The sequence below is a fragment of the Homo sapiens genome, chromosome 19 (assembly GCF_000001405.40).
Source record: "Homo sapiens chromosome 19, GRCh38.p14 Primary Assembly".
Classification (NCBI taxonomy): domain Eukaryota; kingdom Metazoa; phylum Chordata; class Mammalia; order Primates; family Hominidae; genus Homo; species Homo sapiens.
Window position 1 is genome coordinate 31,193,278 of NC_000019.10, and position 17,635 is coordinate 31,210,912.

At 39.0% G+C, this 17,635-nt stretch overlaps 1 protein-coding gene and 1 long non-coding RNA gene across 3 annotated transcripts in view; one reads left to right on the forward strand and one right to left on the reverse strand.

Moving 5' to 3' along the window:
• Window positions 1-14,386, forward strand: part of LINC01791 (long intergenic non-protein coding RNA 1791) — a 40,154-nt gene extending 25,768 nt beyond the window's left edge. The window contains exons 3-5 of the long non-coding RNA NR_147209.1: window positions 2,313-2,426; window positions 11,469-11,643; window positions 14,222-14,386. This is a non-coding gene — a long non-coding RNA (long intergenic non-protein coding RNA 1791). The remainder of the gene's footprint in view (window positions 1-2,312; window positions 2,427-11,468; window positions 11,644-14,221) is intronic.
• Window positions 1-17,635, reverse strand: part of TSHZ3 (teashirt zinc finger homeobox 3) — a 201,002-nt gene that overhangs the window by 43,402 nt on the left and 139,965 nt on the right. Inside the window, exon 3 of one of the 2 annotated variants that reach the window (NR_138036.2) lies at window positions 11,679-11,801. The exons of the other annotated variant lie outside the window; for it this stretch is intronic. The gene's annotated coding sequence lies outside the window, so the exon portion shown is untranslated. The remainder of the gene's footprint in view (window positions 1-11,678; window positions 11,802-17,635) is intronic. 2 annotated transcript variants of the gene reach the window in all.

The following is a 17,635-nucleotide window of genomic DNA, read 5'->3' on the forward strand; positions in this document are numbered from 1 at the left end:
TATTTCAGTCATATTTTGCAGGAAGCAGTCTCTGTCAGTAACAAATATCCAACTCCATCACCTCCACACTCTTATTCTCCTTGGAGAAGGAAGCCCTCTGTGGCCATGTCCCCAGATGCCCACTGGATGGTGGCTGTCTTGATGGATGAGGGAACAATCTCAAAAGACTTGAATGCCACAGCCAGTAGCACTTACCAAATGCCAGGCATGTTCCAAGCAGGTCCATGAATTATGCTGGGTAGACAACGTGGCACCTAATTACCTGTGTCGCGATCCTGCATGTTATACTTACTAGTTGTGTGAGCCTGAGCAAGCTGCTTAACCTCTTTGTGCCTCACTCTTCTCATAGGTAACATTGTGAGAATCATCTTTATCCCTTAGGGTTTTTCCAGGACAGTGCGAGCCTTTGTAAAGGACTTAAAATCTGTAAAGCACACAGTCACATACATTATGATGTGGATAACTGGAGAAATGCATTATTTTCTTTGGAAAGGAGAACAAATACTGTTATCATAATGTATTTTTGTTAATTTTTTTGGCTGGAAAATTGGCAATGCAATTTTAAGGTTAGCTTAAATTCACTGGTAAGAATTAGTAGAAATTTTTTAGAAAAATAGTAATGTTTTCTGGTTCAATGAGGAGCTTGCTAGTTGCTACTCTATCTTAACAACATGTAAAAAGCTGAACAAACTGGAAAATAAACAGCTCTTCTTAGATCCCAAAGGGAAGTGAGTTCACAGGACAAATCACCGACCCCAAAATTAGAGACAGATAAGCAAATACAGAGAATCACAACTTACTAGATAGAAATTCATGAGCAGAACTTCTGAAGGAATCAGCGCCAAAGTCGGGAAATCTGAACTGTAATTGATGACTTATTGGAGTCTCAGTGTGGATAAACCTGAGAGTTAAAAACTCTAGGTGGACTAGTCATTGGGTATCCCTCACAATTAAGTGAGTTTTACCCCCTGGAGCTGGACCAGGTTCCCACACTGAATACTGGAGAAAAATCCCCTCATGCTTCTGGCAGAAGGAGGTGAAAAACATCTAAGAGTGCATCAGAGCATTCTGTTCTTCTTAACAAGGTCTGCCCTTAGGAGAAACTATTCAACCAGAGCCTAACCTGCTAGGGTTTTATCAGAACTTATCTCACCTGGAAGAAAGGAAATACCCAACTCCACACCATTGCAGCCATCCTGTCCCATCTAAGTGGCAGTGGGGTGGGGAGATTGAGAAGCACTTGAGAAGTTCACAGTCCAGAAGCAGAGGCTCATTAGAAGACTGAGACCCAATCACAGGTCTAGAGAATGCACCCCTTCTCCCTGCACCTTACTACCACTTTACTAAAGGCCTATTTACAGCATTTCTTTTTATCCAGTACATATTGACCAGCTATCAAGAGAAAAGTACAAGGCATACTAAAAAGCAAAACAGTGCAGATTGAAGAGACACAGCGAGTGTCAAAAGGAGACTCAGATATGACAGAAATGTTGGAATGATCAGATCAGGAATTGAAAACAACTATGATTAATATGCTAAGAGCTCTAATGTATAAAGTGGACACCATGCAAGAACAGACAGGCAATGTAAGCAGGGAGATGGAAATTCTAAGAAAAAAGAAACAAAAAGAAATGCTGGAGATAAAAAACACTATAATAGAAATGAATCACGCCTTTGATGGGCTTGTAGTAAATTGGACATGGCTGAAGAAAGAATCTCTGAGCTTCAAAGGTATCTCAATAGAAACCTCCAAAATTGAAAAGCAGGGAGAAAAAGAAAAAAATGGGGGGGAAGCAGAGAATAATATCTGAGAACTATAGGACAAATATAAAAGGTATAACATACACATATGGGAATACCAGACAGAGAAAAGAGGAGAAAGGTACAGAAGAAATATTTAAAACAATAATGCCCCAAAATTTCCTCTCAAATTAATGTCACACACCAACCACAGATCTAGGAAGCTCAGAGAACACCAATCAGGAAAAATGTTAAAGAAATTACACCTAGGCATATAATTCAAAATACAGAAAATCAAACATAAAGAAAAATAATTCCCCAAAGAAGCCATAGGGAAAAACACCTTACCTATAGAGAAGCAAAAATAAGAATTATCTCTGACTTCTCCTCTTAAACTATGCCAGCAAGAAGAGAGTGGACTGAAATATTTAAAGTGTTAAGAGAAAAAGAAACATCTTAAAATTCTGTACCCTGCAAAATTGCTTTTCAAAAGTGAAGGAGAAATAGACTTTTTATACAAACCAAAATGTAGGGATTCTTTTATTTATTTATTTATTTATTTTTGCCAGCAGACCTGCCTTGCAAGAAATGTTAAAAGAAGTGCTTTAGAGAGCAGGGAAATTCTATAGGTCAGACACTTGGATCTACATAAAAAAAGGAAGAAACCAAAGGAGAAATAAGTGAAGGTAAAGTAAAAATTTTATTTTTCTTACAACAAATACATTTATTCAAAATAAAAATAGCAAAAATGTATTTGATTATGTATGTGTTTTTGTATACATGCATACATAATCAATATAGTCATGTGTATACAGACACATATAATCAATATAGTTATGTGTCTCTTAACAATGAGGATACTTTTTGAGAAATGAGTCAGTAGGTGATTTTGTCATTGTGTGAACATCATAGTGTGTACTTATACAAATCTAGATAGTATAGCCTACTGTACACCTAGGCTATTTATTATAGCTTATTGCTTCTAACCTACAATTCTGTACAGCAATACAGTATTATAATATTATGGTTGACCAAAACATAAGGCATGACATTGTGTGTGTATGTGTGTGTGTGTATGTATACATGTATATATTTATATGAAATAAATGAAAACAATGACATAAGGGACGGGAAGGAAGAATTAGGAGTATTTTGTTATTAAAGTATTCACATTATCCATGAAGCAGTATAGCAGTATAGTTACACTACAGTTATTATAGTTATTTAAAAGTGGACTTGGATTAGTTGTAAAGATATATTGCAAACTCTATGGCAAAAACTATAAAAAGAAAAAGAAATATAACTGATACACTAAGAAAAGAGGGAAAATGAACTTATATAAGTTTTTCAGTTAAAATCACAAATGGCATAAAAAGACTGGGAGATAACAAGAACAAAGGGAAAGAGCAATGATTGGTAAACAGCAATGAATTTTGCAGACATTAATTAAACTACATTAATAATCACTTTGAATGCCAATGGTTAAAATATTCTCATTAAAACAGACACATTGCCAGAGTGGATCAAAAAATGAAATCCAACTATAGGTTTTCTAGCAGAAACCCACTTTAAATACAAAGACACATCTAGATTAAAAGTAAATGGATGGAGAAAGACATACCATGCTAACACTAATCAAAAGAAAGTGGGAGTAGCTATATTAATTTCAGATAGAGCAAATAAGCTATCAGGAATAAAGAATGGCATTGCATAATGATGAAGGAGTCAATTCTCCAAGAAGGCATAACAATCCTTAGTAAAGTTGTGCCTAACAGTGCATCAAAATATATGAGCTAAAAATGGGTAGAACTGAAAAGAAGAAAAAATGAATCCAATATTATACTTAGAGACTTCAACACTCTTCTATCATGAACGAACAGACCTAGCAAACAGAAAATTAGTAAGAACACAGTTGAGCTCAACACCACCATCAATCAACTGTATATAATTAATATCTATAGACAGCTTCATTTAGCAACCTCAGGATATACATTCTTCTCAAGCTCATATGGAAAATTAACCAAGATAGACCACATTCTGGGCCATAAAATACACCTTAGCAAATTAAAGAAAATAGAAATCACACATTGTCTGCTCTCAGACCACAATGCAATTAAACTACAAATCAATAGGAAGATAGGTGGAAAGCCCCCAAATACTTGGAGATTAAACAATACACTTCACAATAACACATGGTCAAAAAATAAATATCAAGAGAAATTTAAAAATATTTTGAGATAAATGAAAATGAAAACACAACTTATAAAATTTGTGAGATGCAGCAAAAGCAGTGCTTACAGGGGAATTTATATCATTAAATGCATATATTAGAATTAGAAAAAAAGAAAGAACCAAAATTAATCATCTAGGCTTCCATTAGAGAAAATTAGAAAAAGAAGAACAAATTAAGTCTGGAATAAGGAGAAGAAAAAAATGAAAATTAGAAGAGAAATCAATGAAATTGAACTCAAGAAAAAAAAAATAGAGAAAATTTATGAAACCAAAAGTATGTTTTTAGAAAATATAAGTAAAATTAAAAACCGGTGCCCCAGCTAACCAAGGAAAGACAAGACACAAATTACTAATATTAGAAATGAAAGGGGGCATCACTATCAATCCCATGGACATTCAAAGCATAATAAAGAATGATTATAAGCAATCTATGTCCACAAATTGGTAACTTAGATTAAGAACCTATTATTTGAAAGATAAAATGTACTAAAACTCATATAAGGAGAAATTGACAATTTTAATAGGCTTATATTTATTAGCAAAATTGAATCAATATTTAATAATTAAAAACAGAAAGCACCAGCTCTAGATGGCTTTACTGGTGAATTCTATCAAATATTTAAGAGAAAAATAATACCAATTCTGTAGACTCTGTTTCAAAAGTAGAAGCCCAGGAAATATTGTCTAACTCATTCTGAGCAGCCCGCATTACATTTATACTAAAACCAGACAAAAAGACATGACAATAAAAGTAAACTACAAACCAAAATTCTCATGGACATAGATGCAAAAATCCTCAGCAAATTATTAAAAAATTGAATCCAATAATGTGTGAAAATAAGTATGGACCACAGCTGACTGGGATTTATCCCTGGTATGCAAAAACAGTTCAATATTTGAAAATCAATTACTGTAATCTACCACATCAGCAAGCTAAAGAATAAAACTCACAAGACCATATCAATAGATGCATACAAAGCATTTGATCAAATCTAACATCACTTATGATAAAAACTATCAGTAAACCAGAAATAGAGGGAAACCTCATAAAGAATATTCACGAAAACTGACAGCTAATGTCATAGTTAATGGAGAGAAACTCAAAGCTTTCCCACTAAGATTAGGAACAAAGCAAGAATGTTGCCTCTCACCATTATTTTCAACATCATACTGGAAGTCCTACCTGATGCAATAAGACAAGAAAAGGAAATAAAATATATAAATGATGGGAAGGAGGAAATGAAATTGTCTTTTTCACAGTGACATGATTGCCTATCTAGAAAATAAAAAGAAGAAAAGTACTCCTGATACTAATAAATAATTATACCAAGGTTGCAGGATAAAGGTTAATACACAAAAGTCTATTGCTTTTCTAGGCAGCAGCAATGAACAAGTAGAATTTGAAAATAAAAACAAAATACCGTTTATATTAATACCCCCCAAAATGAAATACATAGATATAATAAATCTAACAAAATATGTACAAAATCTATATGAAGAAAACTATAAAACTATGTTAAACTAAATCAAGGAAGGACTAAATAAAGAGGTATTCATATTCATGGATAGAAAGATTTAATATTGTGAAGATTTCACCTATTCCCAACTTGATCTATAGACTCAGCACAATCCTAATCAAAATCCCAGAAGGTTATTTTGTAGATATTGACTAACTGATTCTCCGATTTACAGGGAGAGGTAAAAGGCCCACAATAGCCAACATAATATTGAAAAAGAAGAACAAAGTTGTGTCACTGACTTCTAGACTTACTGTAAAACTACAATAATCAAGATGATGTGGTATCGTCAAAAAATAGACAAGGCAGTGGAACAGAATAAAAACCCCAGAAATAGACCTATAAGAATATAGTCAGGGCCACGCACGGTGACTCACAGCTGTAATCCCAGCACTTTGGGAAGCCGAGGCAGGCGGATCACAAGGTCAAAAGATGGAGACCATCCTGGCCAACATGCTGAAACCTCATCTCTACTAAAAATACAAAAATTAGCTGGGCATCGTGGCGGGCGCCTGTAGTCCCAGCTACTCAGGAGGCTGACGCAGGAGAATCGCTTGAACCTGGGAGGTGGAGGTTGCAGTGAGCCAAGATTGCACCACTGCACTCCAGCCTGATGACAGAGCGAGACTCCGCCAAAAAAAAAAAAAAAAAAAAAAGAAAAGAAAAAACATAGTCCGATGGTCTTTGATAAAGTACCAAAGACCATAAAATAGTAATAAATAATCTTTTCACAAATGATGCCAAGACAACAGAACATCCACATGACCAAAAAATAAAATAAAATAAAATAAAATCTAGACACAGATCTTACATTCTTCCCCCAAATGAATTTGAAACCACTAAACTCTTAGAAGATACCACAGGAGAAAATCGAAATGACCTAGGGTTTGATGGTAACCCTTTAGATATAATGTCAAAGGGATGATCCATGAAAGAACTAATTGATAAGCTGGACTTCACTAAAATTAAAATTTTCTGTTTTGCGAAAGACAGTGTCAAGAGAATTAAATGACAACTCACAGGCTGGAAGAAAATATTTGCAAAAGACATATCTGATAGAGGATTGTTATCCAAAATAAACAAAGAACTCTTAAAACTCAATGAAAGAAAACAATGATCCAGCTGAAAAAAATGCGCCAAAGACCTTAACAGACACCTCACCAAAGAAGATATACAGATAGCAAACAGTCTATAAAAAGGTGCTCTGTTCCATATGTCATTAGGGAAATGCAAATTGGAGCAGCAATTACATACCTCTATATACCTATTCGAATGGCTAAAATGGGTAACACTGACAACACCAAATGCTGGTAAGAACATGAAGCAACAGAAACTCTCACTCATTGCTGGTGGGAATGCAAAATGAAACAGCCAATTTGGAAGATAGTTTGGGATTTTCTTACAAAACTAAACACACTCTTACCATACCATCCTGCAATCTCACTCCTTGGTATTTACCTAAAGGACTCAAAAACTTATGTCTGAAAAAAAAAACCTGCACATGGATATGTATAGCAGCTTTATTAATAATTGCCAAAACTTAAAAGCAACCAATATGTTCTTGAGTAGGTGAATGGATAAATAAACTAAAAGTCTGGTACATCTTGACTTTGGAATATCATTCAAGGCTAAAAAGAAATGAGCTACTAAGCCATAAAAAGATACATAGAAAACTTAAATGCATATCATTAAGTAAAATAAGCCAATCTGATAAGGCTACCTACTGTGTAATTTCAACTCTGACATTCTGGAAAAGGCAAAATGATGGAGACAGTAAAAAGATCAGTAGTGTCCAGTGGAGGAATGGAGGGGAGGCAGGCGAACAGACGAAGCACAAAGGATATTTAGGGGAGTGAAACAATTCTGCACAATACTACGATGTTGCATACTCATTAGGCATTTCCCTAAATCTATAGAACACGCAATACCAAGAGTGAACCCTCATGTAAAATATGGACTCTGGGTGGTGACGATGTGTTAATGTAGGTTTATCAATTGTAACAAATGCATGCACCACCACAGTGTGGGCTGTTGGTAATGGGAGGCTGTGCATGTGTGTGGGAAGGGGGGTGCATGGGAAATCTCTGTGCCTTCTGCTCAATTGTCTGTGAATCCAAAACTACTCTGAAAAATGAAGTTTATTTTGAAAAAAAAAGAATAATGATGAAGTGGGCTTTCAAATACCACATATTAAACTGTACTTTAAAGCAAGTATAATTAAAGCAGTGTGGTGTCAGGGGAAAAAAATGTAGACAAATCAGTTAAAAAGAAGAAAATCTCGAAAGGATCCCAACATTGTGACAGTGTCGTGATAGGTGCCTATTGAATATTTATGTAATAAATGAATACAGCTTAGTACAACGTTAAAAGTATCATTTCAAGACAGTAGGTAACAGAAAATTACTCTACAGGTAGGTCTGGGGCAAATTGTAATCATTTGATTTTTAATAATGGTTAAATTATTCTCTCACCCTGTACTATCGCCCAAATACACACACACATACACAGATGGATGAGAAAGTTATAAAATGACTTAAAAATATCAATCTCTTCGTGTTGATTAAATGTTCATGTTAAATCTAAAAACAAAGGGAGCCATCAAAATCAAAAAGAGAAAAAGCTTAAAAGATTTGTCTACATAAAAATAAATACATAATGAATGTCATATTGCTAAAAAAAATTCACTATGTTTGACAAGTTGATTTTCTTGATAAGTCATAGAATTTAATATGGAAATATCAATGATTTTGGGGAAAAAAACTGACTAAAGGAATAAATAAGCCACACTACAAAGAAGCAGTCTACGTGGCCATGGCATCACAGCTTATGTCTAATCCCCTTTGACTAGAGTGCAGGAGTGTGTGATTAAACTGAGCAGGAACTAATGTGGGCTTCACGAGTGGCCGCCACTGTATTCATTCAACTGCTGGGTGGAAGAGCGGCTTCCCTCTTCCTTCCTCAGAAGACCAGAGATGATGATTTAAGAAATAAAAGTTGGAAATGTCTTATTTCAAGTCAGATTACAATATTAAATGTTAGAAAGCACTGAGATCCAGTTTTTAATGGAAATATCATCTATTGCCATTATTTGCCAAATTAAAAACCCATAAAAAGTCATGGCTGGGCGCAGTGGCTCATGCCTGTAATCCCAGCACTTTGGGAGGCCCAGGTGGGTGGATCACCTGAGGATGGGAGTTTGAGACCAGCCTAACCAACGTGGCAGAACCCCATCTCTACTAAAAATATAAAAATTAGCTGAGCGTGCTGGCGGTGCCTGTAATCCCAGCTACTCGGGAGACTGAGGCAGGAGAATCGCTTGAATTCTGGAGGCGGAGGTTGCAGTGAGCTGAGATCGTGCCATTGCACTCTGGCCTGGGCAACAGAGCGAGACTCTGTCTAAAAATAAAAAAAAAAGTCATGATCTTTGAGAAAAATTAGAGAAAAAGATAAGCTAATGTAGAACAATTTACTAAAATAATTCACAAAAAAATAACAATTTAGAAATCACTAATGACAACACCAAAGCATATAAAATTGTAATTTCCCAGGAAATACATGTAGATGTCTAGATATCGCTGTATGTATATGTATATTTACATACATAATACATATATGTGTATATCAATATATGTATATTTCTTTTTTTAAATGTGATATTCCAAGCTATTTGCTGTTTTGTAATTTTTTCAATTCATATAACCATTTTCTATTTAAAAAGAGTTCTACTCCTCTGCATTTTAAATGCCAAGTAATACTCCACTGTTTGTGCAGACCATAATTTTTTATTACCCAATCATTATTGGGTAGTTAGATCACTTCCAATTTTTTATATTTGATACAACACTGACCTGCCTGTGGTTTTGCTCAACATTCATGAACACACATGAAATTTTCCAAGGGTAAACTCTTTTTTAAGCCCTTAATATATGTTGCCAAATTACCTTCTGAAACCTTCTACAATAGACTCTCACCTGAAGTGGGAGGGATATTTTTAAAGTCAGTACATATAATACAAAATGCTGGTCATCAAAATTGCCCTGGCACATCTTTTAAGAAAATAGTGTTGGAGATTGACATTCAGTAATTCATTTGTTCATGCAACAACTGAAACACTGTTTATTGAGTAACTAGTCTGTGTCAGGCATAGTGCCAGGAGATGGAGATGGGACAGACACCGAACTAGACCAATATATTCACTGTAAAAAGCTATTCTGGTGGAGAGAGAGAATGAAAATTAAGCCTAACAATCACAAAATTTCTAAAGCATTAGAAGATGATAAGTAATATAGAAAAAAAAAAGACTAGGCAGGGCTAAAAGAGAAGTATGTTTGGAGGAGGGTGCCATAGAGGTTTAGATGGTCAAAGGAAGCTCCATTGAGAAGAGGTGACTTGAAGAAAGTGAGAATTGAGCTATGCAACTAGCTGGTGGAAGGGCATTCCCAGAAGAGGAAACACCATGTATGAATGCCCTGAGAAGGAGGCACAATTGGCATGCTGAAGGAACAACAAGGAGGTCGGTGTGTCCAAAGACCAGTGTGTGGCAGGAAGAGTGAAGGATAGGAGGAGACCAGAGAGGTGAGCTAGGCAGGGCATTGGGTGGATATGGACTTTTTCCCAGAAAGGAATGGAAATTGTGGAGCATGTTTAGCAAAGGCATGACATGAGTGACTTGTTTTAAAGGATCTCTCTGGCTGCTCCTTAGAAAACAGACTGTAGGGCACAAGGTGGGGGTGGGTAGCAAGGAGAGCCATCTTTGCAGTTCTTATGCTAGGAGCTGTTAGGCTTTAGGGGACATCTGGTATGAGAATGGGTCCTTAAACATGAGTCTCAGATCCAGCCCTCGGGACGGTCACACCACACAGACCCAGTGAAGAAACAGCTCTGGGGAGAAAGCAGCAGGATCTCCCCTCAGGTGCTCACTCCTGAGCACACACACAGAGGGAAACGATGGGTGGTAAGGCAGGCTTTAGGTACATCTTCCTTCCTTCTGCCCTTCCTTCCTTCTTTCCTTTTCTCTTCCCTTTCTTCTTCCCTCTCTCCCTTCCTTTCTTTCTTCTCCCCTCTCTTCTCTCCTTCCTTCCTTCTTCCCTCCTGTATTAGCCTGTTTTCACACTGCTACAAAGAGCTTCCCAAGACTGGGTAATTTATAAAGGAAAGAGGCTTAGTGGACTCACAGTTCCGCATGGCTGGAGAGACCTCAGGAAACTTAAATCATGGCGGAAGGTGAAGGGGAAGCAAACACCTTCACATGGCTGCAAGAGAGCGAAGTGCAAGCAGGGGAAATGCCAGATGCTCACAAAACCGTCAGATCTCCTGAGAATTCACTATCACAAGAAAAGCATGGGGGAAACTGCCCCCATGATCCAATCACCTCCTTCCCTCCACATGTGGAGATTACAATTTGAGATGAGATTTGGGTGGGGACACAGAGCAAAACCATATCATCTCCCTTTCTTCCTTCCTTCTTCAATCCCTTCCTTCCTTCTTTCCTCTCTTCTTCTCTTGCTCCCTCTCTTCCTTCCTTTTTTCTTTCCTCCCTTCCTCCCTCTCTCCTTTTCTTTCTTTCCCTTTCCTCCTTCCCTCCCGTCCTTCCTCTCTTCTTCTTTCTTTCCCTTCCCTTCCTTCCTTGGTACCTCCATTCCTCCTTCCCTACCTCCCTCTCTCCTTCTTTCTTTCCCCTTTTTGGGGGAGGGGTGTGGTGGACAAATGCAGAGTTAAAATTATGTAAATTAAATTTGTCAAATATATCACTCCACTGTAGCAAATTTCATTACTGCTTGTACCTCCTTACACTTACCCCAGCCATGAGTAGAATGTTGTTGTTATTGTTGTTTTAATCTTTAGATGTGTGTAGACAGAATGTTAAGTTACTGACAATGCTATAGGCATTGCTTTGTTTGCTAGTGCAAAGGATCATTTTTTCCCAGCTTCTTGGCTGTCCATGTTTCCGTCCTGAGTTGTCTTTCCTGCACTTTGCAGGCATGGAAACCTTGTTCCACACATTGCCTGGTGCCCTGTCCAGCGCTGCAAGGTGCACTGCGTCTCCTCTGCCCAGCAAGCCACAAGCCCCTCCAGGGTGAGAGGAGAGCCTTCCCTTCCCTTGGTCCTCCCTTCGACACAGGGAGCTGGAGCTGGACAGCCCCATAGGCACTCAGTAAGCACACACCATGTAGATAAGTTAACATGTACCTTTGAAAAGGTGGATCACGGGGATTTTGTAATGATGCAGCAGCGAGGATGCTTTGAGGATGGAACTTGGGGTCTTTCAAGTTCTCAGTAGGGCTGCGATCCTTCCTGGACTCTAGTTGTATCCTGCAGAGGTGTAGGAGATGAGCCAGTGAGGTGCCATTCTGGAGAGGTTCCTTGTCGGCTGTTCATGAACACAATTGCTCTTTCACAGCTATCAGTCCCTGAGCAGCCACCCTTCACCAGGTTTGGGGCCAAGTGCCTTACACTTGTTACCTTATGCAATTCTCACCCTAAGCCTGCGATACCACAATTTTTATAATTTATCATCTACAGGTGTGAAAACCAAGGTGGAACATTTTAGGGACTCTCAGCTAGTAAGTGGAGGCTTCCTTTCCTGCCCCTTTTTTATTCCATTATGGACAGAGCTGACTGTATCTCTGCATTCACTGCAAGTCTGCGTTGCTCCCTCAATCTTTGATCCACTTCTTTCTCCTGAAGGGCACTGAAATACTGGCCGTTTATGGCTCCTGAAACTTGGGATGGGAGGACCCAGAGAGCTCTTTTCACCAAGAGTGTGACCTCAGCAGCTTTCATTCCTTCCTGGCCCCAGCTGGCTCTGGGCTGAGCCCGCTTCACCAGGGAGCACCATGTGAAGATGAGTCTCAACCTGGAGTCTGCCATTTGTTTCCAGTCCTTCACTGCCATTCCAAAGAGAGGAATGACTGCCCGACCCTCCATCTGGGGCAGACTCAGCCCAAAACAGAGGCTGTTGGCCCCTTTCCCCACCTCTCAGCTCCTTAGCACTTTGAATCCAATCCTACTCTTTGGAACTTAGCTGATAAATACAAGGCTGCCTTTTCCAAAAATGTTTCTGAATAGACAAACTAGAAACTTTATAATTTGGAAATAGTATTCAAATGGCTCTAAAGACACATCTAGGGCTATGTTCTATTCTTGGGGAAATTCTAGAGATACATGGTTGGCTGGATGGAGGGATGAATGAGTGGGTGGATGAGTAGGTGTGAGTGGATGAATAGATGGGTGGATGGATGCATGCATAGATGAATGGATGGATGAATTGATGGGTGAGTGGAAGATAAATGAATAGATGGATGGGTGAAATGGATGGATGGATGGATGGATGGATGGATGGATGGATGGATGGATGGATGGATAAATGAATGGATGGATGTGTGAATGGATAAATGGATAGATCGATGAGTGGACAGATGAATGGATGACTGGATGAATGAATAAATGGGTGGATGATTGGATGGATTAATGGACAAGTGGGTGGATTAATGGATGGATGGATGGATACGTAGATGGATGGATGGGTGAATAGATGGGTGGGTGGATGGATGGATGGATAGATGGATGAGAGAATGGGTGGATGGGTGTATGGATGAATGGATGGATAGGTGGAGAGATGGATGGACAGATTGATTTCTCTCACTGAACAAGTACCAACATAGGCAAAAGCAAAGCAAGAGACACCAAAAGCATGTTTTATTTTGGGAGAAAGGAAAGTCCTTGGAAACACAAGTCCAGGCCTGCAAAATCCTTGGGCTGCTTCACCATTCTGGGAGCAGCAACATGTCCTTCAGCTGTCTTATATTCCCTTCTCCAGCAAGGACATAAGGACACGATAAATACTTAAACTGCAGCAAGAAAATTTCAAGTTATTCTTTAAAAAAAAACTTTTGAAATAGCCATTTGATAATAGTAGACATCAGCCCCTAAGTAGAAAGAAATCTATTTTTCAGCATTTAATTCATACAAAATCTTCCATTTTCAATAAGCATTAATTTAACACAGACAAAATGGCTATAGGGTGACAGAATCTCATCTCTATATGTAGAAGATTTTTAAACAAAAAGCCACGTTTATATTTTATTGAATTCCAGGGGCCTGAAGGCAGGTAAGTTGTTGGGATAACCCCTGCAATCTGCCCCAACTTTCTAGTGTTATAGAAGAAACAATATTGAGGAAAGTCCTAGGTTTCCTTTTCTAATTTTTTTAGTCTTGCAACATTAACTAACAAGAATTTTCTTCCAAAATTGCAGAAATTTTTCTTTAAGACTAGGCGGGAAGAGTGGAAATAAAAGTCAAATCTAAAACCTGCAAACATAAACCTGGAGCAGGCGAGAGACCATTATTGCTGGTGTCTGTTCTCAGCTATAGAATCATTAACATGAAATACCTTTTAATGAATGCATTGAAAAAAGTGATTATATATTAAAGTACAAAAGTCTATTCCTGCACCATTTAAATTACTTTACAATGCTGATTAAAATAACAGAACATTATAGCTTGCTTAGCTAACCATTATATTTCCAAATCCATTTCCAATTGTTTCCCTTCAATTTGAACAATTTTTGAGCAATTTTATTGCTATTCATACCTGCTTGATTTTTTATTAGAAATTAAAATACACAGGTTTTTTATCAATGTTGTGAAGTACTGCAAAGTTTAACTCTTTTGATGCCATTCAGAACCTCAAGTCACAGGGAGAAGCAACTTTTTTTCTCTCTTAATTCCAGGGGCTTGAAGAAGATATCTAGAAATGTCAAAGCAGAAGAGCCTCGGAGATAATCTGAACTATTTCTGAGTTTATATAAGGGAAAACTGAGACTGGAGAGAACTAACATGTCTAATATTACAATGGAAACTTGTAATAAAACCACAAATTGAGTCAAGTCTCCTGATTCACTATATGAGCTTCTTTTGACTCTAAGAAACTGTCCTTCACAAAGTTCCCAAGAAAGAATGGATTGGCCAGATCGATAGAGGAATTTCTGAGGAAACTGCACTTGTGTTTTTATATACTTGGCACTTATTCATGCTAAACAGTAGTTTAGTGCAGTGGTGGAGAAAAGAATCCCTTTGAATGATACCTGATTAATGTGTGTATAAAGCACACAGGCCTATAAAATAGTGTGGAATATGGGACAAGCTATCTTGATGCCAAGCCATGGAATGGACCTGTGTGTTACCCAGGACAAGCTCCTTGTTCTAAAACCTTTATCATAAGTGCAACGAATGACTGCCTTTGCTGATTATAGAAACCTCTGTCCTGCTCGTGGCAACACCCTTAGCACCAAGCACAGAGCCTCACACAGAGAATGTGTTCAAGAACTCTTCAGTAGATAAATGAATGAATGTTCCTCCATCATATGGAGTTTTGGGGTCCCAAGCAACAAAAATAGATGCTAGTTAACGTGAGGAGGATATGAATTGGTTTAGGATATCAAAGCAAAAGCTGAATTAACAAGGGGTCCTGGAAAGTTGGGGGCTGAGCAGCTCCAGGCCTCTAGACTGAAGAAAGTAATGAGGTCTCTTTGGGCATCCTGCTGGGATAAACCCTCTTTAATAATTTCCCATCTTTGTCTTCCTCATCTTAACATTCAGGCTCCCAAGAAAGAGAGTCCAATTGGCCGAGCTTTTATCACACGCCTGTCTGTTGGCAAGAAGGGCTAGGAACCCTGCAATGTAGTTCATGAAGACTGTATACATGGAAAAGGGAAGTCAAGGTGCTAGTATTAGAAGAAACAATGAATTGTGAGCAGATAAAAACATCACATATCCACTGTACACTTGAGCTTCTCCTTCTCCTGTAGAGTGAGTGTAGCAATACCTAACTTGCAGGGTCCTTATGGGAACTGGAAATAGGATTAGAAGAGTCATAGCATAATTCCCTGGCACATAGCATGGAACCTATCACAGCTGGTTTTATGTAGGGGCAGTGAAGACATGGTTTACCACAAGTCGTGGCTTTCCCAATGCTGATTCCTGAACTGTGGCCACACTGTTCCTCTTTCAGAGGTGTTTGACAACACACTCTTCCATGTGCAGATCTTACTTACCAACGCTACCTTCATTACAACATTTCTTCAGCCCCAGCCATAAATTGAGTTGTGGAAGGCCCAAGCCATGCCAGGATTTTAGGACGGCTGGGGTTGGTATCAGGTGGAGCTGAGGCTAGGAAACCAAAATAGGATGTGAGCTGGACCTGAAGGTAGTGGAGCAGTCAGGATCCCGATGTCTGAGGTGTGTGATGAGCAGAAGGCCATGATTGAGGATCTCAAGAATGACCCCAGTTTGCCAGACGCCAGGTCCAAGGCCACTGACAGATTCCCTGGTAGATTTCAAATGGACTCAAGAGCCTAAAGACAAAGACCTTATGACTCCATGTAGAAAGCCTGGGACTGAGCTGCCCGTGGGTGCCCAGCCAGGTGCAGGGGAAAAAAAAGAATGCTAACTGAAAATTAACTGATAGTCTAAACTGAGCAATGAGTTTGGAGACTCCAATTGCAAAAGTAATGGGAACAATGAAAAGAAGAGTATTCCTTGGGACTCAGTGCAGTAACTAATAATTACTGGACACTTGCCATTTGCTGGGTCCCCTGCTAGGGAGACAGGACAGAGTAGTGATTAGGGGCACAGATCCAGGATTCAGATCATCTGGGTTTGAATTCTGGCTATTCCACTGAGTGGTTATAGGACTTCAGGCCAGTCTCATAACCCACCCTAAGTGGGGATACTAGGAGCAGTTTGTGCCTGTTGGAGCACTAAATTAGATGATTAATGTAATGTGCTAAGACCAGAGCCAGGCACTGAGAAGGTGTTCAATAAGCATTAATGATCTCATTATTGTCGTGTTCGTTGTTAAGCGTTTGGTCATGCCTTATCTCATTTAGTTCTGAGGGTCTGAGGCAGTGCTAGGAAAGCATCATGGGAGACAGGCATGGTGGGAGCTGAGCCCTGACATGAATGGGGCTAACTCAATGGCATAAGGTGTGGGAATGGTGTTTGTCAGCAGTTGGGATGAGCAGTGATGCCCCTTAGGTGCAGTGAGGGTAATCCTGACTTGAGAGATGAAATCCTCAAGGGCCCCCAACCCCTTCTCCCCATTCTGTGGCTGGGTCTCAGCCAAGGTGTGTGGAGTGGTTGGGTGGGGGGTTCAAGTCTAGGAACAAAGGGAGAGAAGGTCAGGTCAGTGAGCCATGTGGAAGCATGAACAAAAGAAGGGGAGTTGATTTTGAAGGAGGTAACAAGGCATAGAGCTTTTTAAGGACACTTCATTTGAGAGTTAGTGGTTGGTAGATGGGAGGGTGAAGGAAAGGAGACCAGAGTGGAGGAGAAAGGGAAACTTCTGGGAAGATGTACTTGGGGGGATATTCCAAGCCAGGCAAATGAGTGCAGGGGAAATGGAGGTAGGGCAGGTCCAGGGACCAAAGGTGAAGCTTGGCCTATAGAGGCACAGGCCTGGGTTGGAGGGACTCTCAAGAAAAGCAGGAATGGGAAATCTTATAGTAATGTCACCAATGACATAGGCTCAAAAGGGCTTTGCACCTGTTTTTTTCTTCTTGAAACCAAGAAGTTTCCTCTCTTCCCCACTTCTCGCCTCTGAATCACTCAGAGATCAGGGCTGGTGACAAGGGCCAGTGGCAGAGGCAGTATGTTTGAGGAGTTCAGAATGCCTCTCCCCAAAGCAGGAGGTATATCTAGAAAAATGAAGCCTCTGATCTCCTTTCTTCTGTGTCTCGGGCCTCAGGCTGCTTCCAGGAGCCCAGCCATGCCTGGAACACGTTTCATGAGTGTCTAGGGGTTAACACTTCAAGAAGAAACAGGGGAGATTTTGCTGGTGTACACTATGTCATGAGAATGGATCTAACGAGTGAGAGGAAGCTCTGATCAAGAGCTGAAAAACCTGCACGATTTTCAACTCAGGAACCCACGCGTACCACCATTTTCTTCTACGAGAAACCTCAACAGGTTACAGATACATAATTTGAAAGAAAACAACCTTAAGTAATGTGCCATTCTAGTTAGGTCTAAATTCACATTTGAAAATATTATTCAACTAATTAAAATGGAATTAAATGAATACAGTGTTAACTGTGTCTAGTGTTTAGCATAAAATGTTGTTAAATATATCATACTCTGTGTTCCAA